Here is a 24,829-nt window from a genome sequence, read left to right as displayed (position 1 = left end):
ATTTTTAGTAGAAACGGGGTTTCTCCATATTGGTCAGGCTGGTCTCGAACTCCTAACCTCAGGTGATCCACCCATCTCGGCCTCCCAAAGTGCTGGGATTACAGGCGTGAGCCACCTTGCCCGGCCCAGTAAGGGAGAATTTTTAATGTTTACCTTAGAAATAAGGTCTGACCCACAGCAGATTCTTTGCAGATTCTTTTGATTTACGTGCTTGATTATGGCTTATTTCTTAAAAAGCCTATCTGAAGCTTATATTCCTGTAAAATATCTTTGAAGTATTCTTTACAGTTACAGGTGATGTATACCTTCTCCTCCTATGTGCTAGCACCCTAAACTTAACCCAGCTTCAGTGCTCCATCCTTTGGCCGAGTGATGATGATTTCTCACCTCACCCTGCTGATGCCTCTCTGCCTGCCATGGGCCAGAGGTGGGATTGTAGTTGCCAGGGCTCCCTACTGTGGCCCACCTGGGTACGAGGGCTTGTTTGTTCCTCTCCATTCCTCTGACACTCATTCCTGCCCCTCCACCCTCAGTGGGTAAGAGCAGGTTTACACTGTTCTCTTGGAGTCCAGAGCACCGACATGGATCTAGGGCTGGAATCTTCTCACCTGGCCCTACATTCCCTCCCTGGCCTTTCTCCCTCCATCAGTGGAGGCTGGGATGCACTTGGGGAGGGAATGAGACAGGGGACATTCAGAATGGCTGTTTGGGCTCACAGTTGAGTGGGAAAAAGATGGGAGCTGCATCCCAAGGAGTCATGAGGTCTCCCCCGGCACCTGTTTCAGGAAAGGGGAGAAGTGTTGCTTTTCTCCCCTGCTGACAGATTAGTCTGTCATGAGAGTGGATTTTTGCAGGTTGTGGGGGAGGGGTACCAAGACCGTGGGGAGTGGGAGATGCCTGGCTGGCTTCCCGGGTCACCTCATGTGCAGAGTTGACGGCTTGGGCCAGAGCCTTGGATTCCTGAGAAGCTTACCACCTGCTCACTCTTGCTGCTACCCAGAGTCACTGAGATTTCTGGAAACTTAGAGATTGCTATTTTATGTTTTTGTTCTGTGGGATTTGGGGTCAGATTGCTTCCTTTCCTCCTTCACTTTTGTTAAGGTTTCAGATCTGGCTCTCAACTCTGTGTTCAGGAATCTTGACAGTAGTCACATAAAAGAATTGTAGGAGTGCCCTCTCGTGGTGATCTTTTAAAGTAATTTATCACAGCTTGCATGTAGTTGGTGGCGTGAGTGCTTATATTCATTAACTCAAATATCAGGAATTTTTTACTAGCTTGCATTATTATGTTGAGCAAGGTCTTTCCTTTCTTTTGCCGCTGGAAGGTTGCCTGGCATGTATTAGATGTTTAGGAAATAGTTACTGAATAAATGAACAGAATAATTTTTGATTAAGTTTTTGGTAATTAAATCTGTCACATAGGAAGCTTCGTTAGGTGTTTTAATAGGGGAAGACAGGAACAGTTTTTTGGAAAAATATATACAGCTTGACTTTTGTTTTGTTTTGTTTTGTTTTGGAGATGGAGTTTTGCTCTTGTTGCGCAGGCTGGAGTACAATGGCACGATCTCAGCTTATGGCAACCTCCACCTCCTGGCTTCAAGCAATTCTCCTGCCTCAGCCCCCTGAGTAGCTGGGATTACAGGTGCACACCACCATGCCTCACTAATTTTTGTATTTTTAGTAGAGACAGGGTTTCACCACGTTAGCCAGTCTGGTCTTGAACTCCTGACCTCAGGTGATCCACTCACCTTGATCTCCTAAAGTGATGGGATTATAGGCATGAGCCACCGTGCCCAGCCAGTTTGACTTCTGATAAAACATACAGTTTTAGTTAGAAAATGTGATGGTGCTGATGGATACGGTCATCGGGAGACAATTGTGACATGCTCACACCACATGCAATCCAGGTGATCCTCCAGATTTAGATTGGGGGGATCTTGATGTGGGCAGACAATGCAAGCCGTTGGAGAGGGCCAGGGTGGGCTGTGCATTTGAAGTGAGCCATCAGGGTGGCTGACCTGTCCCTCCAAAGTCTAACCTGAGGACAGGGAAAGCACTGTTGTGGGAAGAAGTGTTTCAGAATCTCTGCCCTTGGGTGTGGGCGGCACCTATGGGAGTTCTTTAAAATCAGTCCACGGGTGCCTAAGCAGGCCAGGTCCTTCCCACACCTCTGCTCCTGGCCACTGTGCTGAATTCCTACCCCCCATTCTCCGCTACCTCCTTCCCCTACACCAAAAAAAAAAAGAGTGCATCCATTTTGGAGGCTCACTTTTCTTACCTAGACATTTTTTCAATTTTTTACTTCAAAAATTTCAAATCTATCTAAAAGTTACAAGAATAGGACAATGAATATAACTTTCACTTAGATTAACCAGTGGTTAACATTTTACCATATTTGCTTGCTCCTTCCTTCCTTTTGTTTTTTTTTTTTTTGTGACGGAGCCTAACTCTGTTGCCCAGGCTAGAGAACAGTGGCATGATCTCGGCTCACTGCAACCTCTGCCTCCTGGATTCAAGCAATTCTCCTGCCTCAGCCTCCTGAGTAGCTGGGATTACAGGTGCACGCCACCACACTCGGCTAATTTTTGTATTTTTAGTAGAGATGGGATTTCACCATGTTGGCCAGGCTGGTCTTGAACTCCTGACCTCAAGCGATCTGCCTGCCTTGGCCTCCCAAAGTGCTGGGATTACAGGTGTGAGCCACTGCACCCAGCCTGCTTTTTCTTTTTCCATAAATATACATATTATTTTCTGTTTTTTACTTTGCTGGATTATTTGACAGAAAGTGGTAGATATCATACCCTTTAACTCCTAATATTTCAGCATGTATCTCTTAAGAGCAAGGACATTCTCTTAAATAACCACAATCTATTAAGTAGAGGAAATTTAGCATTGCTATAGTACTGTTACCTAATACACATCCTACATTCACATTTCACCAGTTGTCTCAATGATGTCCTTTATAGAAATGTTTCTTCCGCTCTAGTGTCTGATGCAGACTCACACCTTACATTTAGCTGACCTTTCTCTTTAGTCTCTGCAGTATCTTTAGTATCTGCAGTACATTCTCAGCCTTTCTCTGTGTTTCATGACATTGACATGTTTAAAGGTCAGTTATTTTTGTACAGTGGCCCTCAATTTGGGTATTTCTGATGGATTACTTATGATTAGGTCTGGTTATGTGTTTTTTGGCAGGATCACCATGGGAGTGATATTGATCCTTCTCAGAGCATCATTTCATGTCACTTTGTAATTAACTCCTAACCTCTGAGGAGATGTTTGAAGGCTGGGCCTTCACAGGTCTCCCCGGTGGTTCCAGCAATCTTTTTTTTTTTTTTGAGACGGAGTCTCGCTCTGTTGCCCAGGCTGGGGTGCAGTGATGTGATCTCAGCTCACTGCAACCTCTGGCTCCCGGGTTCAAATGATTCTCCTGCCTCAGCCTCCCAAGTAGCTAGGATTAGGCATGCACCTTGGCCTCCCAGAGTGCTGGGATTACAGGCGTGAGCCACCACACCCACCCCTCAGGGATCTTGATGATTCTTGCTGGCATTGATTATCACTGTGGTAGATGTCAAAATTATGATTTTTGGCATTTCCAAGCTGGCATTCTACAGTAAAGAAAAAGTTTCCTTCCTCCCCTCTTATAGTAATTATATCGGTATAGATGCATTGCTGCTTTTTTTTAAACCCAAAGTATTACTCCATTGTTATCGTCACCCATTTTGATGTCCAAATTGTCCTTTAAATTGGCCCTTGTGCCCTTTAACATGCCCCCATCAGTTATTTTTTGGATGAAGGGGTGGTCAGGCTTCTTGAGGTATAATTTACAGTGAAAGTCACCCTGTGTAAGTGCACAGTTCGATGTGTTTTGATAAGTGTATATGGTTCTGTAACCAGCACCATAGTCAAAACAGAACATCTCCCACCCAGTAAAGTTCCCTGTGTCCCTTTGCAGTCAGTCTCTCCCCTCTGTCCTCAGGCTCTGGCAAGCATTGATCTCATTCTGTCCCTATAGTGTTGCCTTTTTAAGAATATTACATAAATGGAAAATAGAGTATATTGCCTTTTGTCTGACTTCTTTAACTTAGCTTGGAGTCATTATTCATGCTGTTGTGTGTTTCAGTAGTTTGTTCCTTTTTATCACCAAGAGTGTTACATAGTGTGTACACACTACAGTGTATCTATTTACCAGTTGAAGATTTGTATTGTTGTGAGTTTTTGGTGATTATTAATAAATCTACTGTAAACATTTATATACATCTGTGGAGACATGTTTTCATTTTTCTTGAATAAATACTTGAGTGGATTTGCTGAGTTGCATGATAAATAAATAACTTTATAAGAAGTTGGCTGGGCTCATGGGCTCATGCCTGTAATCCCAACACTTCAGGAAACCAAGGTGGGCGGATCACTTGAGGTCAGGAGTTAGAGACCAGCCTGGCCAACATGGTGAAACCTCGTCTCTACTAAAAATACAAAAAATTAGCCAGGCATGTGCCTGTAATCCCAGCTACTCATTAGACTGAGGCATGAGAATCGCTTGAACCTGGGAGTCAGAGGTTGCAGTGAGCCGAGATCATGCTACTGCACTCCAACCTGGGCGACAGGGCGAGACTGTCTCAAAAAAAAAAAAAAAAAAAAAAAAGTTGCCAAACTGTTTTCTAAACCAGATGTATCATTGTGCATTTCACCTGCAATATATGAGAGAGGCTTAGTTGCTCTACATCCTCTCCAACACTTGGGTATTGTCAGCTTTTAAAATTTTAGTTATTCCAGCCTGGCCAACATAGCGTAACCCCTTCTCTACTAAAAATACAAAAATTAGGTGGGCATGGTTGTGTGCACCTGTAGTCCCAGGTACTCAGGGGGCTGAGGGAGGAGAAACGCTTGAACCCAGGAGGCAGAGGTTGCAGTGAGCCAAGATCGCGCCACTGCGTTCCACCCTGGGTGACAGAGTGAGACTCCGTCTCAAAAAAAAAAAAAAAAAAAAAAAAATTTTTTTTTAAAGTCATTCTAGCAGGTAGTCAGTAGTATCTTGTTGTGGTTTTAATTTATATATCTCCATGAAGACTAGCAATACTGAGCTTCTTTTCGTGTTTTTATTTTACTATTTTCTTTGATGAAATATAGGTTTATATCTTGCCAGTTTTTTTGAGTGTCTTTTTATTATTGAGTTTTGGAGGTTCTATATATATTCTGAATTCAAGTTTTTTCTCAGATAAGTATTTTGCAGATATTTTCTCTTAAGTCTGTGGCTTGTCGTTTGATTTTAAGTGACTTTCAAAAAGCAGAAGTATTGAATTTTGGTGAGGTGTAGTTTGTTAAATTTTTTATAGTTAATAATTTTTGTGTATGCTGAGATACATTTGGCTAACCTAAAGTCATTTTCCTTAGAAATTTTAGTTTTAGCTCTTACATTTAGGTTTATAATTCATTTCGAGTTAGTTTTCATATATACTGTGACATAAGGGATGTTTTTGTCTTTTTTTTTTTTTTTTTTTTGGATTTGGATGTCTAATTGTGCCTGCACTGTTTGTTGAAGAGACAGTCCTTTATTTTTTGAGACAGAGTTTTGCTCTTGTCGCCCAGGCTGGGATTACAGGCTTGAGCCACCATGCCTGGCTGAGACAGTCCTTTATTAAATAACCTTTGCACCTCCCCTCTTCACATTTTGAGAACTTCCATGCTTTCTGATACAACAAAATGTTTTAGCCTCACTTTGAACTTCCCCTGCTCTAGCTTTAGCCCCAGTGGAAACATAAATTTCTAATAGAAATGGTCTTGGCCATTCCTCCAAGAAGATCCGGTTCCTTCTAATTGGGAGTGGTGTGTAGAGACAGGACAGGGTGCTAGCATGCTTGTTCCTGCTGGAGAGCCATGGCTCTCGGTTAGGAGATAGAGCTAGGAAATATGTATATTTTGAAATAACAAGTTTATTTTATTTGATTTTAGAGAAAAGAACTCACTTGGTACCCGGGCTGTAGTGCAGTGGCATGATCTCACCTCACTGCAACCTCGACCTCCTGAGCTCAAGTGATCCTGCTGTCTCAGCCTCCCAAGTAGCTGGGGCTACAGGCACACGCCACCACACACTGGGCTAATTTTTGTATTTTTTTTTTTTCCTCTGAGACAGAGTTTCGCTCTTGTTGCCCAGGCTGGAGTGCAATGGCGTGATCTCAGCTTACCGCAACCTCTGCCTCCTGGGTTCAAGCGATTCTCCTGCCTCAGCCTCCCGAGTAGCTGGGATTATGGGCATGCGCTACCACGCCCAGGTAATTTTGTATTTTTAGTAGAGATGGGGTTTCTCCATGTTGGTCAGGCTGGTCTCAAACTCCTGGCCTCAGGTGATCCGCCTGCCTCGGCCTCCCAAAGTGCTGGGATTACAGGCGTGAGCCACCGAGCCCAGCCAATTTTTGTATTTTTTTTGTAGAGACGGGGTTTTGCCATGTTGCCCAGGCTGGTCTCAAACTCCTGGACTGAAGCCATCCACCCGCCTTGGCCTTCTCAAAGTGCTGGGATTACAAGAGTGAGCCAATGTGCCTGGCCCCTTTTTTAGTTTTTTTTGTTTTTTAGACAAAGTCTTGCTCTGTCATCCGGGCTGGAATGCAATGGCGCGATCTCAGCTCACTGCAACCTCCGCCTCTGGGGTTCAAGCATTTCTCCTGTGTTAGCCTCTTAAGTAACTGGGATTACAGTCATGTGTCACCACACTCAGCTAATTTTTGTATTTTTAGTAGAGACAGGGTTTCACCCTGTTGGCCAAGCTGGTCTCAAACTCCTGACCTCAGGTGATCCACCCGCCTCGGCCTACCACAGTGTTGGTATTACAGGCGTGAGCCACTGCACCTGGCCCCCTTTTTTACTTTTTAAATGTCTTTTGATGAGCAGTTTATTTTTTATTTTATTCATTTATTTATTTTTGAGATGGTGTTTCGCTCTTGTTGTCCAGGCTGGAGTGCAGTGGTGCCATCTCAGCTCACTGCAACCTCCGTCTCCTGGGTTCAAGCAATTCTCCTGTCTCAGCCTCCTAAGTAGCTGGGATTACAGGTGCCCGCCACCACGCCCAGCTAATTTTTTATATTTTTAGTAGAGACGGGGTTTCACTATGTTGGCCAGGCTGATCTCGAACTCCTGACCTCGTGATCTGCCCACCTCGGCCTCCCAAAGTGCTGGGATTACAGGCGTGAGCCACCGCGCCCGGCCAGTGGTTTTTAATTTTGAGGAATTTCTTTTTTCTTTATGGTGGATATCTTTTGTGTTCAACTCTTTGCCAGCCTTACAGTCTTGAGGCTTTCTCCTGTTATAAAGTCTTTGTAATTTTAGTTTAGATCACATTTAAGTGATCCTAGGTCTAATTTTTGTTGTGGTATGAGTTAGAGATCATGGTTTGATTTTTTTTTCTTCCCCCCACCCCGCTCCATGCAGATACCTAGTTAGTTGCTCTGGTACTATTTTTTTAAGAGATTTTTAATTTGTTTTGGTGTGTTTGCCAAAAATCGAGTGACCTTATATGTGCAGGTCTTTTTCGTGCTGTTCTGTTGATCTATTTATCCTTACACAAAACCATATCCTAGTTGTTGTGACTTTATAGGAAGTTTTAAAATCTGGTAGTGTAAGTCTTCTATTTTTCTTTTTGAGTGTCTTGGCTAATATCGGTTAGATTTTTAAGTTTTTTTGTTTTTTTTTTGTTTTTTTTTTTTTGCTTTTTGAGACGAGGTTTTGCTCTGTTGCCCAGGCTGGGGTGCAGTTGTGTGATCATAGCTCCCTGTAGCCTTGATCTCCTGGGCTTAAGTGATCCTCCTGTTTTAGCCTCCCACATAGCTAGGACTACATACAGGGGCACACTACCACACCTGGCTAATTTTGTTTTTATTTTTGTAGAGTCAAGGTCTTGCTGTATTGGCCAGGCTGGTCTTGAACTTCTGAGCTCAAGTGATCCTCCCACCCTGGCCTCCCAGAGCGTTGGGATTACAGGCATGAGCCACCCTGCCCAGCCTGATTTTCTATCTGTGTTATTGTAATCACTTTCTTGATAATGTCCATGATACACAAAAGTTTTAAAGTTTGATTAAGTGTGACTTTTTTTTTTCCCTCTTGTTGATTGTGCTTTTAGTTTCATATCTTAAAAACCAATTGCCAAACCCAAAGTCATGAAGACTCGCCTGTTTTTGCTTCTGAGAGTTGTGCATGTTAGCGCCTCTGTGTAGGTCTTTGGTCCATTTGGAGATTGTAATCACTTTAATATGCAGCTAACTTTCTGTTCATGTTTAATTTTAGATTCTTTCCCCATCTTTGTTGACTTAGTTTTATTTCTTTAATATGTAAAACAGTAAATGCTTCCAGAAGTCAAAACTATCATTCCCGTCTCATCCCGTCTGTCTACCCTAATCCCTCACACCTGTTGTAGGTAACTAATTTCATTGCTTGCTTTTTGAGACGGAGTCCCACTCTGTCACCCAGGCTGGAGTGGCGCAATCTCAGCTCACTGCAAGCTCCGCCTCCCAGGTTCACGCCATTCTCCTGCTTCAGCCTCCCGAGTAGCTGGGACTACAGGCGCCTGCCACCACGCCCGGCTAATTTTTTTTGTATTTTTAGTAGAGACGGGGTTTCACCATGTTAGCCAGGATGGTCTCGATCTCCTGACCTCGTGATCCACCTGCCTCGGCCTCCCAAAGTGCTGGGATTACAGGCGTGAGCCACCGCGCCTGGCCCATTGCTTGCTTTTTTTTTTTTTTTTTTTTCCTTTGAGACAGGGTCTTACTCTATCGCTTAGGCTGGAGTGCAGTTTTGTGATCTTGGATCACTGCAACCTCCGTCTCTCAGGTTCAAGGGGTTTTTGTGCCTCAGCCTCCCAAGTAGCTGGGATTACAGGTGTGCACCACCACCCCTAGCTAATTTTTGTATTTTTAGTAGAGATGGGGGTTTCACCATGTTGGCCAGGCTGGTCTTGAACTCCTGACCTCAAGTGATCCACCCGCTTTGGTCTCCCAAATTGCTGGGATTACAGGTGTGAGCCACCATGTCCAGCCCATTGATTTTTTTTATCCTTCGTTTTTTTTTTTTTTTTTTTTTTTTTTGCAAAAATGAGCTTATAAATGTGTGTCTGTTTATATATGTGTAGATATTTGTATAAAATCCTATTTTTCTTAAACTAAAGCTACCATACCATATACTCTTTTGTGGGTTTTTTTTTTTTTTTTTTTTACTTAATGTGTGCGGGGAATCCCTCTTTATCAGTGCTTAAGAGATTTGTCTCGTTCTCTTTTGTGGCCACATAGCAACCAGTATTTAGTAGGCCTAGTCCTGGCTGGAGGCTCAGAGCAGATACTAAACTTGAGCATTTGTACTGCATTTATTTCTGGACTTTGCTGGGCTAGCTTCCTTTTTGCCAGTTGCAGTGGACCACACTAAACTCAGGACAGCCTGTGAGCCAGGGGCATGGGAGTAAAAAGGTCTCCCTATTTCATGCCTGACTGTTTGGGACTCACCAGACTCAAGAGCATAAACCAGTTTGAGAAGTAAGAAGAAAGGCGAGAAAGCATTTGAAATGATCCCCGCTTCCTTTCATTTAGTAGGTCTTGTCCTTGGTTCCCCTTCCCTGTGTCTGTGTGAAGTGTGCCAGCCAGTGTGCCTTGGAGCTTTTAATAAGTGTCTGTCCGCTTTCACTCAGTCTTTCCCTCTGAAACAGGTGGCCCGGGAGAGTGGCCCACCCCACATGAAGAACTTTGTGACCAAGGTTTCGGTTGGGGAGTTTGTGGGGGAAGGTGAAGGGAAAAGCAAGAAGATTTCAAAGAAAAATGCCGCCATAGCTGTTCTTGAGGAGCTGAAGAAGTTACCGCCCCTGCCTGCAGTTGAACGAGTAAAGCCTAGAATCAAAAAGAAAACAAAACCCATAGTCAAGGTGAGAACTTTTCTGAACACAGAAGGTGTTTTCATTACTTATAGATGGGTGGGGGGTTTAGAAGGCTGGTCGCTGTCCCCAAGGTGAAAGGGGATGAGACCAACGTGCCACACCCCAGGCCTGCCAGACCCCTTAGAGGTGCTGCAAGAGCCACCTGTTAGGTAAGATAAGGACATTGTGTCAGTTCAGTAGAGGTACCCGCAGACGGGCACACACATCTGTGCAGGAGGGCGCTCATCACAGCCCTGGCGATCACAGTGGGGTATTGGGCAGGAACGCCATGCCGGTCTGTGGGGCGCGTGGTGAAATAACAGTGCCTGTGTCTCAGTGACCATGTTGCTGTTCTGAAGGTGGAGGAGATTTGTGCCAGGCAGGAGGCCCATAGTGGGAGGGTAGGAGTGAGACATTTTGCTGTGTGCCTTTTCTTTTGGATTTTTGAGCCACACTAATGGATCTATCAAAGCATTATATTGACCCCTTCCCCAACCCCAGAAAGGGGACATAATTCCATGGGGAACTTTGTGATTTTCAGTATATGTAGTTTCATGCTGTATCAAGATCCAAATTTTTCTTACATAAAAGCATACTATGTATACCTTTTGTTTCCCTTTTTTGCTTAATATAGCCTGGAAGTCACTTCTGATCAGCAGAGTGAGGGTTCCTTGGCACAAAAGGTGGCCTCAAGGAAGTAACTGGGATTCTGAGGTTCTTCTTGCCATGTGGCATCAGCTTGAGCTTTTTTAAAAAAGTGGTTCCTGGATTTTGAGTTCTTTTCAAGAAAATTGGGAACCCATCATAGCTCAGACTTTTGGGGAGTTGTAGGAATAGTGTTTTATGTTTTTTCTGCCCATTTACTGTCATATGTTGAAATATGTTAAAAAACAGCCGTCGCAGTCATAGTGACGCTTCGTTATAGTGAAATGTTGATGTTGGTTTGCTAAGACCTTAAAATCACCTAGAACAATCATAAAAAAAATAAAGCATCTTTTCATTGTTAAAATGTTAAATTAAAAAAAATCGAATTCTGAGCCATTAGGTCAACCCAAAATCTCTTATCTCCTCTCATATCCTGATCTCTGAGTTGACCAAGTTCATGCGGTGAATAACATTACAGAGTTTCTGCCTTGTTTGTTCCTCAGCCACAGACAAGCCCAGAATATGGCCAGGGGATCAATCCGATTAGCCGACTGGCCCAGATCCAGCAGGCAAAAAAGGAGAAGGAGCCAGAGTACACGCTCCTCACAGAGCGAGGCCTCCCGCGCCGCAGGGAGTTTGTGATGCAGGTGGGTCCGCATGGATGATGGGCGCCCCTTCCTCTGACCACGTCCAGCCTTGGGGGCTGATGGCGGTTCAAGGTCTGGACACCTTCCTGAGGAGGCTGGATCCTGTGGGCCATGTTCTGCCAGCGACTGTGATCCTTATTTATTTATTTATTTATTTATTTATTTATTTATTTTTGAGATGGAGTCTCACTCTGTCGCCCAGGCTGGAGTGCAGTGGTGCTGTCTCAGCTCACTACAACCTCCGACTCCCTGATTGAAGCGATTCTCCTGCCTCAGCCTCCCGAGTAGCTGGGATTACAGGCACGTGCCACCATGCCCAGCTAATTTTTTGTATTTTTAGCAGAGACGGAGTTTCGCCATGTTGGCCAGGATGGTTTTGATCTCCTGACCTTGTGATCCTCCCACCTCAGCCTCCCAAAGTGCTGGGATTACAGGCGTGAGCCACCTCGCCCAGCCAACTGTGATCCTTATTAAGACCTTGTGGCTTGCAATAATTTGATAGCTTAAACATACCACAGAAATCTGTAAAGGCTACATATCAAAGATTAAGTTGTTTATCTTAATGCTTAAAAAAATGAATGTAATGTCTGCACACCAGCACTACTGCTGGGTGCACTGGTGGGAATGTGGGTGTGTTGCACTGAAATTTGGAAGAAAGAGTCCTGGGGTGGTGGGTGCTGGGAGAAGTTTTTCTTCATTACATCTCCTTGAAGGTTTATGACATTGCTCTTTACCAAAGGTAAATTTTGTAAGTAGTATCAAGAGATCTGTTCCTCTTCCTCCTAATTCTTATGGAGTCTGGAATCTAGGGTTACCTCTTCCTTAGATTGGGTGACACTTCAGATTAGTATGGAACATTTCTTTGTACTTAGCTGATTAAGTTCAAAGCTAAGTGGTCATTTCACATAGGCAGCTTAACTTAATTGTGATTTGAATTTAAGTGCTTTCTGATGTAAGACAGAATCCTTATCTCTTGTATAGCAATTTATAACTTAGAAAGTTGACCTCGTATATTTTACCTATGCAGTCAGAAGGTAGGAAAAGAATGATCCTTTCATTCCACAAAAGGAAGTTGCAGTTTGCTGAGAGGATCAGTAGTTTGCCCAAGATGAAATGGCTGGTAGATGGCCAGGTTGGAATTTAGTCCCAGGCCAGGGAATGGTTTCTTTGACTCTCTGAGTCTTGTGACCTGGGCTTTTGGTTTTAGCAGCCAGGTGCCTGTTATTACAATCAACTTGGAAGGGGGTTGTAAGTAGTGATGTGCTGGAACATGTTTAACAACCAGCTCTTCTTCGGGGAGGGTGGTTTGGTGGAATGAGCTGAATATGTATGTTATAGATATATACATGGGTGTTATATACATGTGTGTTATAAATTTTACTGACACAAAGGATGTGTGTTATAAATTATACTGACATATATGTGTGTTTTATAAATTTTACTGACAGAAAGGATGTGTAGTACAATTTATAAATAATATACACTTTATTGTAAATTTCATACATATTTCAGTGTGACAGTTACCAACGATAGTGTTATAAAATCAGACAGCACATAATGGTTTATTACTATCCAGTTCAGCAAAGGTGTTGCTCATGTCACTGACAAATACATACTGTAGATTTGAGATTTTGGTTGTAGCATGAATACTGGTTGAGATACATTTTTTTTGGGGTAGAGGGGAATGGAGTCAACTTGCTCTGTTGTCCAGGCTGCAGGGCAGTGGTGTGATCTCGGCTCACTGCAACCTCTGCCTCCCAGGTTCAAGTGATTCTCCTGCCTCAGCCTCCCGAGTAGCTGGGATTCACGGGTGCCCACCATCACGCCCAGCTACTTTTTGTATTTTTAGTAGAGATGGGGTTTCACCATGTTGGCCAGACTGGTCTCGAACTCCTGACCTCAGGTGATCCACCCACCTCAGCCTCCCAAAGTGCTGGGATTACAGGCGTGAGCCACCACGCCCGGCTGGTTGATGTTTTTTATTTATGTTAATAGGTAAGATGAAAGTAAAACAGGCTGGGCTTGATGGCTTACGCCTGTAATCCCAGCATGACGGATCACTTGAGGTCAGGGGTTCGAGACCAGCCTGACCAACATGGTGAACCCTCATTTCTGCTAAAAATAGAAAAGTTAGCCAGGCATGGTGGCACACGCCTGTAATCCCAGCTACTCGGGTGGCTGAGGCAGGAGAATCGCTTGAACCTGGGAAGTGGAGGTTGCAGTGAGCTGAGATCATGCCATTGCACTCCATCCTGGGTGAAGAAGTGAGACCCTGTCTATCCCAAAAAAGAAAAAAGAAAAAGTGAAACAATGAAGACATGTAACATCACTCATTTGTAAATGATATGAGTGGCTTCTCTGCAAAATTAGATAATTTTCAAAGACGGGAAGATATTTCAGTTTTTTGTGCTAGTTACAATGTAATGGCTGCAGACTTCTCATGCTTTTAAGATTAACCTGCTTTATTAACCTTTTCATCATTGTAGGTTTAGAGTTAGACAATAAACAGCTTATGATCTTTGATACGTAGCATTTGTATATTTCTGTGGTATAAATAGTCCCACCATGGCTGATTTCAAGCTCTCAAAGTGATACTTCCAATGGCAATGCTGGGAATAGATGTACAGTAGTTCACCATCACAGACTGTTTCCATTGTACAAATGCAATAGCTGGGCAGACCCTCAGAACACAGATGATTATAAAATGCAGTCAAAAATTACCTCTGTTAAAATAATTATCAGCTTATATAATTAAATGTTTAATACTGGCTGTGTTTAACAGCCAGCTTCCCAAACTCCTGACTATTTAATAATTAGCTCTCAGAGACAAGGAGGCCAGGTTCGGGGCACTGCTGTTATCTTGCTTCTGACCATAGTTGGTTATTTTGCTGACACACCAATTCCTGCCTGGTTGTTATTCTGAAGGTTTAAGCACTGGTCTGTGTTTTGACTTCTTTGTGCAGGTGAAGGTTGGAAACCACACTGCAGAAGGAACGGGCACCAACAAGAAGGTGGCCAAGCGCAATGCAGCCGAGAACATGCTGGAGATCCTTGGTTTCAAAGTCCCGCAGGCGCAGCCCACCAAACCCGCACTCAAGTCAGAGGAGAAGGTGAGTGCTGTGGGCTCTCTGATTGCAAGATGGTCTCTCGCCTCACCCTAGGGAACTGGGGCACCTCCAGGGGCAGGCTTCAAGGCAAGGCTTTATCTGCCTGACAGTTCAAGGAGTCCTGCTGAGGAGTGTCTCATCCATTTGGACCATAATGTGCTCAGAGGGGCCTCGCATGTCCACTGGCCCCAGGAGGCTCTGGGTTAGATCGTTGATTGTGTCAGTATCTTTGTGGTCTGGGGACGCTTTGTGGAGGGCAGCTTGCTCCTCTCTATTTGTAGGATGAGGATGAAGGGTAATTAGGACTGAAATTACTAAGTGTGATTTGCACTCTAGAAATGAAGCCTGTGTGAAAGATTTATAACTGTTAGGCTTTCGTTAATTGTGGAATAGGCTTTGATTTTTCTGGCAAAATAAGACAGTGTGACAGTAGAGACAGGCCAAATCCAAAGTTTAGGTTTGGGATTTCTTTTTTCCTATGTGAGTTAAACATCAGATGAAAATAATCCCCTGTTGAAAAATTCACGGCCAGGTGTGGTGGCTCAAACTTGTAATTTGGGAGGCTGAGGCCTTGAATCCAGGAGTTCAAGACCAGTCTGAGCAACATGATGAAACCCTGTCTCTACAAAAAATTAAAATATCAGCCAGGTATGGTGGCTTGTACCTGTAGCCCGAGCTACAAGGCTGAGATGGGAGGATTGAGCCTTGGAAGGTCAAGGCTGCAGTGAGCTGTGATCATGCCACTGCACTCAGCCTGGGCGACAGACCCTGTCTCAACAACAACAAAAAAGGAACGTAAAAAGAAAAATTCGTGTCTGCCAGAAGTGGTAAGCAGGACCTCAGCAAAAGCCATGGCTGACCTTCTTCTTTCCCATCACTGAATGGTCCTGGTGAGATAAACTTGAAATCAGGCCTGATTCATTCATGTCTGCCAGTCATATTGACAGAAACAGCATCAGTCATGGCCAGTTAATAACTGACTGGGACCCCAGATACCACCAGTATAGATCTTAGACTTGGCTTTAGGGTTTTTCATTTCAGAATCTTGTAGGACATTCAGAGTGTCCTTTGTTACTTCTTAGAAAGGTGATGTTGTGTTAGACAAAATTCTTAGGTAATAACATTTTCCCCGTAAGGGTGTTAATTTTGGAATGTCACCTTATTTTTTAATTGGATATCAGCTCCAGGAAATATTCTTGATTTATTTGTTTAGCTTCAGTCTGAAAGCTTCTTTCCCCACCTTGGTGGGCTCTACCGTCTAGCATCTCTGCTCTTTCTGGTTAAATGCTTCCCGTCTTCCTGTGGGTGCAGAGTGCAGCTCAGCATTCACAGGTTAGTGCACTTTGTTAGATGCTCTTTGTGGGCAGGGGTGTGGGCAGGAGGGTGCATTAGGAGAAGGAGGCAGGCTCTGCCCAGGTGTCTGTCAGGGTGCCAGTGGTCAGGTGGGGCAGGGTTTTTCTGCCGATTGCCACAGTTATTGCTGACTGGACTTTGTGTAGATTTAGACAGCAGGAGCTAATTTTTCAGTGATCTGATTTATGCTCATGGCCTTTTTTTTTTCTTCTTCTTTTTTAAGACACCCATAAAGAAACCAGGGGATGGAAGAAAAGTAACCTTTTTTGAACCTGGCTCTGGGGATGAAAATGGGACTAGTAAGTGTGATCTTAATATCGTCTTCCTCTGAACGTGATTCTGGGATTTGCATGGGTCCTGAATAACAGCAGGAGCCCAGCCAGTGAGGTCCCGCATGCAAAGTGTCTTTATCATTCCCTGATTCCCTGCGCTGCCATGCGTGCCAAGGGGAGGGCCAGCGTGGGGTTTGATGGTGTCATTGCGTTTTTCCAGGCTGTGGATGTGGATTCGTGTTTACCGTGTATGTCCCTCCCAGGTAATAAAGAGGATGAGTTCAGGATGCCTTATCTAAGTCATCAGCAGCTGCCTGCTGGAATTCTTCCCATGGTGCCCGAGGTCGCCCAGGCTGTAGGAGTTAGTCAAGGACATCACACCAAAGATTTTACCAGGGCAGCTCCGAATCCTGCCAAGGCCACGGTAACTGCCATGATAGCCCGAGAGTTGTTGTATGGGGGCACCTCGCCCACAGCCGAGACCATTTTAAAGAATAACATCTCTTCAGGCCACGTACCCCATGGACCTCTCACGAGACCCTCTGAGCAACTGGACTATCTTTCCAGAGTCCAGGGATTCCAGGTAACTGTCTGGCCTGAGCTGTGATGGCTGTGCCTCAGGACAGTCATCTTTTGGCTTCTCTCAGAAAATGAACTTTGAACTTTGTACTTTTTTCTTAAATCAAGTTCTGTCCAGGGATGGGCTGGGGAGCAGTGATGGAAGGGTAGGAGGTATAGAAGTATTGTAAGCATATGTGGTAAGAGAAATATCTTTATCCTTTGGTAGTAAGATTTCAACATGCAAGCCAACCCTAAAAGCTTCTAACCACTAGCAGTGGTTGTAAATTTGGATTTCAAAGAACAGACTCATCGTGCTGACACTTTCTGTCTGGTAGGAAAGGATATGGCTTCTCCCAGTCTTGGGCTTCTGAGCAGACACCTAGGTTCCTGGAAGGTTCTGGGCTGACAGGGCAGGTGTTAGTATGGCCACAGTGGGGCTGAGTTGGAAAAAAGAGCTGGTGATCTTGCTTGTGGGGCCTGGAGCTGCAGCCCTCCAGCCCACTCATACTTGCTGTTCCCTACCTAGCCTCAGCTCTCTTTTCCCCCTTAGGTTGAATACAAAGACTTCCCCAAAAACAACAAGAACGAATTTGTATCTCTTATCAATTGCTCCTCTCAGCCACCTCTGATCAGCCATGGTATCGGCAAGGATGTGGAGTCCTGCCATGATATGGTACGTCACACCTTGGGTGAGGGATTGGGGTGTTGTGTGTTTATGTGGAGCCTGCCTTGGTTCAGCTTGTTACTAGCCTGAGGAAGATGGGAGAAAGATTGTCCCATAGACCTTGAGAGCAATGAATCGTTTGATAGTGTTCATATTTTTGAAGACTTTTTGTCATAGCTGATTGGATCGATTTCTCACTCTTGATCAGAACTCATCAGCTTTAGCCCACCTTTCCCTTCCTTTTCCCTGCTGGCCTGGAGGGGCAACTGGGATCCTGCAGCTCACCCAGAGACTGCACTCACTTCATCTCTCACCAGAACAAGGAATTGCAGGTCCACGTTCTGGCAGCTGTAAAAACCACTTGCTTTGGTCTTCTGTTCAGATGAAATTATTGTTATAAGAAAACTGAGAAAAGGAATTGATCAGATCAACAAATCTAAGTAAACTGTGATGTATTCACTTGATGGGATGTCATGCATGCATGAAATTAATGTCTCTGGGTGGGGTGTGGTGGCTCACACTAATCCCAGCACTGCGGGAGGCTGAGGCAGGCGGATCACCTGAGCTCAGGAGTTCAAGACCAGCCTGGCCAACGTGGTGAAACCCCATCTCTACTAAAAATACAAAAAAAAATTAGCCAGGTGTGGTGGTGGGTGCCTGTAATCCCAGCTACTTGGGAGGCCAAGGCAGGAGAATCGCTTGAACCCGGGAGGTGGAGGTTGCAGTGAGCCAAGATTGCACTACTGCACTCCAGCCTGGGCAGCTGGGTGAGACTGCGTTTCAAAACAAAACAGTGTCTCCGAAGATAATGTAATAAGAAGAAAAATACATGATAGGCCGGGTGTGGAGGCTCACACCTGTAATTCCAGCACTTTGGGAGGCCAAGGTGGAAGGATCGCTTGAGCCTAGGAGTTTGAGACCAGCCTGGGCAACTTAGTGAGACCCTGTCTCTATAGAAAGAAAAATACATGATAGATTTTTGTTAGAAAGCAGGATATAACATTTATACAGTCTGGTTACCACATGGTTAAAAATACTAGAAGGAAAAATATAACATTTTCAGAGGTTATGATTCAGTGAGGTAACTGAATATTTTTTAATTTGTATTTTAAATTAAAAATTCAAAGTTTTATTTAGTAGTACCAGAGTTGAAGAAGTTGCCACCTGTTTGCTGGGCAGCAGGAACTCTCTTGCCTGCCTGACCAGTGTATTATGCTGTGGTCCCAAGCGGTGGCTGTGGCTTTACCCTTCTTTCCATCCCCACTAGGCTGCGCTGAACATCTTAAAGTTGCTGTCTGAGTTGGACCAACAAAGTACAGAGATGCCAAGAACAGGAAACGGACCAATGTCTGTGTGAGTGCACTGATGAAGGGGAAGGCGCTGATGATGGGGAGGCTGCCCCTCGTTTGTGTTGAGTTTACACTATCTGCTGACTCAGCGGGGAAATATTTGCCTGAGTTACTTTCTGGCCCTTTTGCCTGAAAGTTTTCCAGATTCTCTGGGCAGAAAGCTCTACTTTTAAAAGACATTTTGAGGCTGGGAACAGCGGCTCACACCTGTAATCCCAGCACTTTGGGTGGCCAAGGCAGGTGGATCATGAGGTGTCAGGTGTTTAAGACCAGCCTGGCCAAGATGGTGAAACCCTGTCTCTACTAAAAATACAAAAATTAGCCAGGTGTGGTGGCAGGCACCTGTAATCCCAGCTACTTGGGAGGCCGAGGCAGAGAACTGCTTAAAACCTGGGAGGCGGAGGTTGCAGTGAGCCGACATAGCGCCACTGCACTCCAGCCTGGGCGACAGAGCAAGACTCCGTCCCAAAAAAAAACAAAAAAACCTTTTTGAGTTGGTCATACCTTCACATGGTCAGAACTCTGCATTATTTTACAAGGTACAATCTTCCCCTCGGACAGCCCCCATCCCATCCCTCCTATTCTCCCCACCGCCTCCCCCATAGATCACATTTTTACTAGTTTCTCCTGTATCTTTCCTGTATGTTTCTTTATACAAATATAGACATATATTTCTTCCCTCATTTTCTTCCTTTCCCCCCACAGAGATAAGTACACACACTCTCCTTGCGTATTTTACTTACTGGCATACCCTGGGAAAACTTTTGTTATCATAAACTGGGGCTTTTAGTATTGTACTTCCTGATGTTTGCCAATTTCTTTTCATTTTTAACAGTACTTTAATTCTCTTACATTTCAAAACTAGTGTCATTTTCATTTTTCTTCCTTAAAGGTGTGGGAGGTGCTGAACCTTTTCTGGCCATGAACCATTATAAAATCCCAACATATATACTGAAAATACTGAAACTGCTTTGAAAATTTGGAATTTCTGATACCTCCAGTGGGCCGAGAGACACGGTGGGTAAAGGATGTGGGCAGCAGCAGGGAAGACAACAGAAACACAAGGAGGCGGCTGTGGCCGGGCTGGACTGTGCTGGGGTTTGTTGTGATGGCCACTCGGTGACCTGGCGGTCCCTACGCAATAGCAGCTGCCTGTGGGGAAGAAGGGCTGCCCAGCCAGCTGGTTCTCCCGGGACACCAGCAGATCCACACCCTGGGCACCTCCGTGTTTGGTCTTTTTTTTCCCCTGTGTGAAAGAAGAAACGGCACGACCCCTTCTCAAGCTGGCTCACTCAGACACATTGGGACAAACCCTGGACAGCCATGCCAGAGAGAGGCCTTTGACCGGCCCCAGAGCTAAAAGCACCAGAGAAAATCAAATGCTTCCTACTCAGCGTGACCCAACTTTTCTAGTGTGCCACGGCCCCACCACCTCCTGCAGTACCCACACCATCACCACTGCTTTCTCTTCCAACAGTGATCTGTATTCTTAGTTTCATTATTTTCTTTTGATTGATATGACACTATATAAAATTTTCATTTGAGAATTTCTCAATTGTATCTAGTTAAATAGCACAGTTTGGAAACTTGTCTGAGACTGACTTTATCAATAATCTAACCGACAAAGATCATATCCATGTGTATGTGGTTAGACATTTTTATTTCATTGACTAACCCAGGACAGTTTCAGTGATGCAAATTGTGTGCCCTCTGGTTCAGCTGAAACAGTCCTGGACTTTCAAAAACCTTGAATAAGTCTCCCACAGTTGTATAAATTGGACAATTTAGGAATTTTAAACTTTAGATGATCATTTGGTTCCATTTTTATTTCATTTTTATTTTTGTTAATGCAAACAGGACTTAAATGAACTTTGATCTCTGTTTTAAAGATTATTAAAAAACATTGTGTATCTATACATATGGCTCTTGAGGACTTAGCTTTCACTACACTACAGGATATGATCTCCATGTAGTCCATATAAACCTGCAGAGTGATTTTCCAGAGTGCTCGATACTGTTAATTACATCTCCATTAGGGCTGAAAAGAATGACCTACGTTTCTGTATACAGCTGTGTTGCTTTTGATGTTGTGTTACTGTACACAGAAGTGTGTGCACTGAGGCTCTGCGTGTGGTCCGTATGGAAAGCCTGGTAGCCCTGCGAGTTAAGTACTGCTTCCATTCATTGTTTACGCTGGAATTTTTCTCCCCATGGAATGTAAGTAAAACTTAAGTGTTTGTCATCAATAAATGGTAATACTAAATTTTTTTGTTAATTTATTCTCAAATGCCACTACTGCTAGGTTGGTCCCCTCCCAACTTGCCCCTATCCTTTTTTTATTTTTAAGAAAAAAACTTTGTAATGCTTGTGATTCCATCTGGGCAAAAGTCTGAAGATCTGAAATAACTTTATATCAAACCATTGATCAATAAACAGCTACTAATGAAGTGTTTGGTCCTGTTGAGCAGTAACTAAAATAAGGGAAGATGTGAGTAAGGGGATGGAAGCTCGTCGTGGGGGGACCAGGGCCAGCCCCTCTGGGAAGCGTTGCTGCCTCAGAGGCATGTTGGGTACCTGGATGTAGGGACTTGTGCCCCGTCCAGACCTGACATTGCTACCCAAAGAAATGACCCCAAGGAGCTGAGAGGAGACTGCCGGACACTTCCCAGGGCATCCTCATCTCTCACCATAACTGAGCACTGAGGAGGACATGCGTTCCAGCCTGGTTGAGGGTTGGGCTAGTTGGTTTTCATTTTTTAATTTTAGAAGAAGTGGAAGAAGATTATAAAGGCTTCACTGTAAAGCCAGCCTATGATTGTACTGCCGGAATAACTGAAAGTGATCAGAAGGTTATGGAAAACACTAAGGGCAGAAGGAAATGCAACATTTTGAGGAGAAAAGCAGTGAAAGGAGAAAAAGTGTCTTTACGTCTTTAAAAACAACAAAAAAAGAATTCATGGACCTGTGACTCACATCACAACCCTCCCCCAGACTGAAGGTTCTTAGAGAAGCTGAGCCTGGGGCCCTGACTTGATGCACTTTCGCAGGGAGCGTACTTGCTGGCGGCAACACTGGAAGCCGACCAGTGTGATCTTTTGTGTCTTCGACTATTTATAAAAATTCATTCTGGGCCGGGCGCAGTGGCTCACACCTGTAATCCCAGCACTTTGGGGGGCCGAGGCAGGTGGATCATGAGGTCAGGAGATCGAGACCATCCTGGCTAACACGGTGAAACCCCACCTCTACTAAAAATACAAAAAAATTAGCCGGGCATGGTGGCAGGTGCCTGTAGTCCCAGCTACTCGGGAGGCTGAGGCAGGAGAATGGTGTGAACCCGGGAGGCGGAGCTTGCCGTGAGCAGAGATCGCGCCACTGCACTCCAGCCTGGGCGACAGAGCGAGACTCCGTCTCAAAAAAAAAAAAAAAACTCATTCTGGGTACTTCATTGAAGAAGGGGTGCCCTGGGGTAACTTTGGTAATACACTCAAGTAAGCATTAAGTGTTAAAAATATTACAATAAAAAATTATAGTTCAAAAACAGTAGTAAGTTTTTCTTCTTTTTATTTTTATTTTTTTGAGATGGAGTCTGGCTCTGTCACCCAGGCTGGAGTGCAGTGGTGCAATCTGGAATCACTGCAACCTCCTCTTCCCGGGTTCAGGCAATTCTCTTGTCTCAGCCTCCCTCCTGAGTAGCTGGGATCATAGGCACGTGCCAGTGCGCTTGGCCAATTTTTGTATTTTTAGTAGAGATGGGATTTCACCATGTTGGCCAGGCTGGTCTCGAACTGACCTCAAGTGATCTGGCCACCTCGGCCTCCCAAAGTGCTGGGATTACAGGTGTGAGCCACTGCGCCTGGCTTAAGTTTTTCATGAGTAGCTTTGCATAGTAAGACATTACAATATAGCTTTTTTTTTCCTTTTTGAGACAGTAGCTTGCTCTGTTACCCAGGCTGGGTTGCAGTGGCCTCAAGCGATCCTCCTGCCTTGACTTCCCAGAGTGTTGGGATTACAGGTGTGAGCCACTGCACCCAGCAGTATATAGCCTTTCTTTACTACTTTTTTTTTTAAAGACAGTGTCCTGCTCTGTCACCCACACTGGAGTGTAGTGGCATGATCACAGCTCACTGCAGCCTTGACTGGGCTCAGGTGATTCTCCCACCTCAGTTTCCTGAGTAGCTGGGACTACAGGCACATGACACCATTCCTGGCTAATGATTTTTTTTTTTTTTTAAGAGAGAGGGTCTCACTACATTGCCCAGGCCAGTCCAACTGGGTTCAAGTGATCCTGTCATCTCATCCTCCCAAAGTGCTGGGATTGCAGGTGTGAGTCACTGCACCTAGTCCTTTAACTTTTAAAATTTTATTTTAAAATAATTTCACAGATAAAAGGTACATTTTACTGAAATTATGTGTACATTGTCTCCCCTGGTCTCCCTCTCTCTTCAAAATTTAGATATTCCCCCAAGTCAGGGAGTGAACACTGCATCCAGTCCATGGACCCCATGCAGATCTCGCCAGCTGTCCCAACAGTGTCTTGTCCTTTCCTGGTCCAGGGTCCCTGTCAAGAGGTGTGTGTTGCCTTTAGTTTTCTCCTGCTGTCTGCATCAGTCCTCTCGGCATCTGTGTTTCACGTCCTAGTGGGGTGAAGCCCGCAGACCTCTCTGTAGTACACCCTCAGCCTGGGTCTGGATGATGGTGACCAGACCTAGGCAGCACTTTTGTGGCAGGAAAGCCACAGAAATGCTGCGCTCTTCTCTGTATGTCACTCCAGGGGCATACAGTTTGTTAACCTTGGTGACCCAGGCAGATTGCTCCACTGTCAGTCAGGTCACACTATGTCTCTTGGTAATCAAGGAGTATTTTGTGGGGAGGCATCCTCAAAGCACATGACCAGCCTGTTCCTCTTCAGACCTCTACCCTCCATCCTTGTCCTTCACTTACAACTTCCATGTGAATCCACCACCACTGCCCATCCATGAGCTTCCATGTCCAATGTTCCTTCTGCCGACACCCTGCCCCTGCATGGAGGCGCCTTCCCTCCCCATTGATGCAGTGTGTCAGCTAATGGACTCCTAGTCTGGGTCGCAATCCATTGCAACCATTTATTTGATGTTCAAATTACTTCAAATTTGGACATCAGAAGACCTGTCAAGGTGACTCTTGTGTCCTTTTGGCATGTTTCCATCTTAAAATTGTAAAAAATTGTGGTAAGACACATAGAAAATTTACCATCCTATTAACCACTTTTTTTTTTTTTTTTTTAAAACAGCATCCCAATCTGTCATCCAGGCTGGAGTGCAGCAGTGTGATCCTGGCTCACTGCAACCTTGCTCTCCTGGGCTTTCCTCCTACCTCAGCCTCCCGAATAGCTGAGACTACAGGTGTGCACATCCATGCCCAGCTAATTTTTTTTTGTACAGTCGAGGTCTTGCTATGTTGCCCAGACTGCTAACTACTTTTAAGTGTACAGTTTATTCATAATGTGTAGCCACCACAATCCAACTCCATAACTTTTCATTTTGTAAAACTTAAACTGTTCCCATGAAACACTAACTCCCCTCGCATGCTCCTTCCAGCCCCTGGAAACCACCACTTGTTTATGATTTTCACTCTAGGAACCTCCTATAAATGGACAGTATCTGCCCTTCTGTGGCTGGTTTATCTTACATAGCCTAATGTCCTTAAGGTTTATCCGTGTTGTAATATGTCAATTTCCCTCCTTTGTTAAGGCTGAGTAATATTCCATTGTGTGTATATATTCCACATTTTGCTTATCAATACATTGTCAGTAGGCACTTGGGGTTGGACACGGTGACTGACACCTGTAATCCCAGCACTTTGGGAGGCCGAGGCAGGTGGATTCCCTGAGATCAGGAGTTCAAGACCAGCCTGGTCAACATAGTGAAACCCCATAGCTACTAAAAATATGCAAATTAGCTGGGCATGGTGGCGCGCACCTGTAGTCCCAGCTACTCGGGAGGCTGAGGCAGGAGAATCACTTGAACCCAGGAGGTGGAGGTTGTAGTGAGCTGAGACTGTGCCACTGTACTCCAGCTTGGGCAATAGAGTGAGACTCAGTCTAAAAAAAAAAAAGCACTTGGGTTGCTTCCACATGTGAATATTGGTATACAAAATCTTTGAGACCCTGCTTTCAACTCTTTGGGGTATGTACCCAGAAGTGGAATTGCTGCATATAATTTTTTTTTTTTTTGAGATGGAGTCTCCCTTTGCTGCCCAGGCTGGAGTCAGTGGCACGATCTCGGTTCACTGCAACCTCTGCCTCCCAGGGTCAAGTGATTCTCCTGCCTCAGCCTCCCGAGTACCTGGGATTACGGGGGC

General features: G+C 44.7%; 1 protein-coding gene across 28 annotated transcripts in view, besides 1 other annotated feature; it reads left to right on the top strand.

The window, feature by feature from the left end:
• The window catches only part of STAU1 (staufen double-stranded RNA binding protein 1), a 105,957-nt gene extending 85,020 nt beyond the window's left edge, over positions 1-20,937 (top strand). For 15 of the 28 annotated variants that reach the window (NM_001319135.2, NM_017454.4, NM_001322930.2 and 12 more), the window contains 8 exons: positions 9,689-9,901; positions 11,041-11,184; positions 14,148-14,294; positions 15,868-15,943; positions 16,180-16,499; positions 17,028-17,150; positions 18,409-18,494; positions 19,383-20,937. In NM_001319135.2, the coding sequence (NP_001306064.1) occupies positions 9,689-9,901; positions 11,041-11,184; positions 14,148-14,294; positions 15,868-15,943; positions 16,180-16,499; positions 17,028-17,150; positions 18,409-18,494; positions 19,383-19,398 (1,125 nt within the window). In that variant the 3' untranslated portion in view covers positions 19,399-20,937. Of the gene's footprint in view, positions 1-9,670; positions 9,902-11,040; positions 11,185-14,147; positions 14,295-15,867; positions 15,944-16,179; positions 16,500-17,027; positions 17,151-18,408; positions 18,495-19,382 lie in introns of all 28 variants that reach the window. The other 13 variants (NM_001322927.2, NM_001322932.2, NM_001319134.2 and 10 more) reach the window with 1 other exon arrangement.
• Positions 16,362-16,519: a silencer, noted in NCBI's record as "fragment chr20:47734294-47734451 (GRCh37/hg19 assembly coordinates)". NCBI's record gives its function as "represses an EF-1alpha promoter that drives an FKBP-Casp9 reporter gene in an ReSE screen in K562 erythroleukemia cells {active_cell/tissue: K562}" and the evidence as "EXISTENCE:reporter gene assay evidence [ECO:0000049][PMID:32094911]".

Source organism: Homo sapiens, chromosome 20 (genome assembly GCF_000001405.40).
Source record: "Homo sapiens chromosome 20, GRCh38.p14 Primary Assembly".
Taxonomy (NCBI): Eukaryota; Metazoa; Chordata; class Mammalia; order Primates; family Hominidae; genus Homo; species Homo sapiens.
The sequence above is the reverse complement of the archived record's forward strand: the minus strand, read 5'-3'. Positions and strand labels throughout refer to the sequence as shown.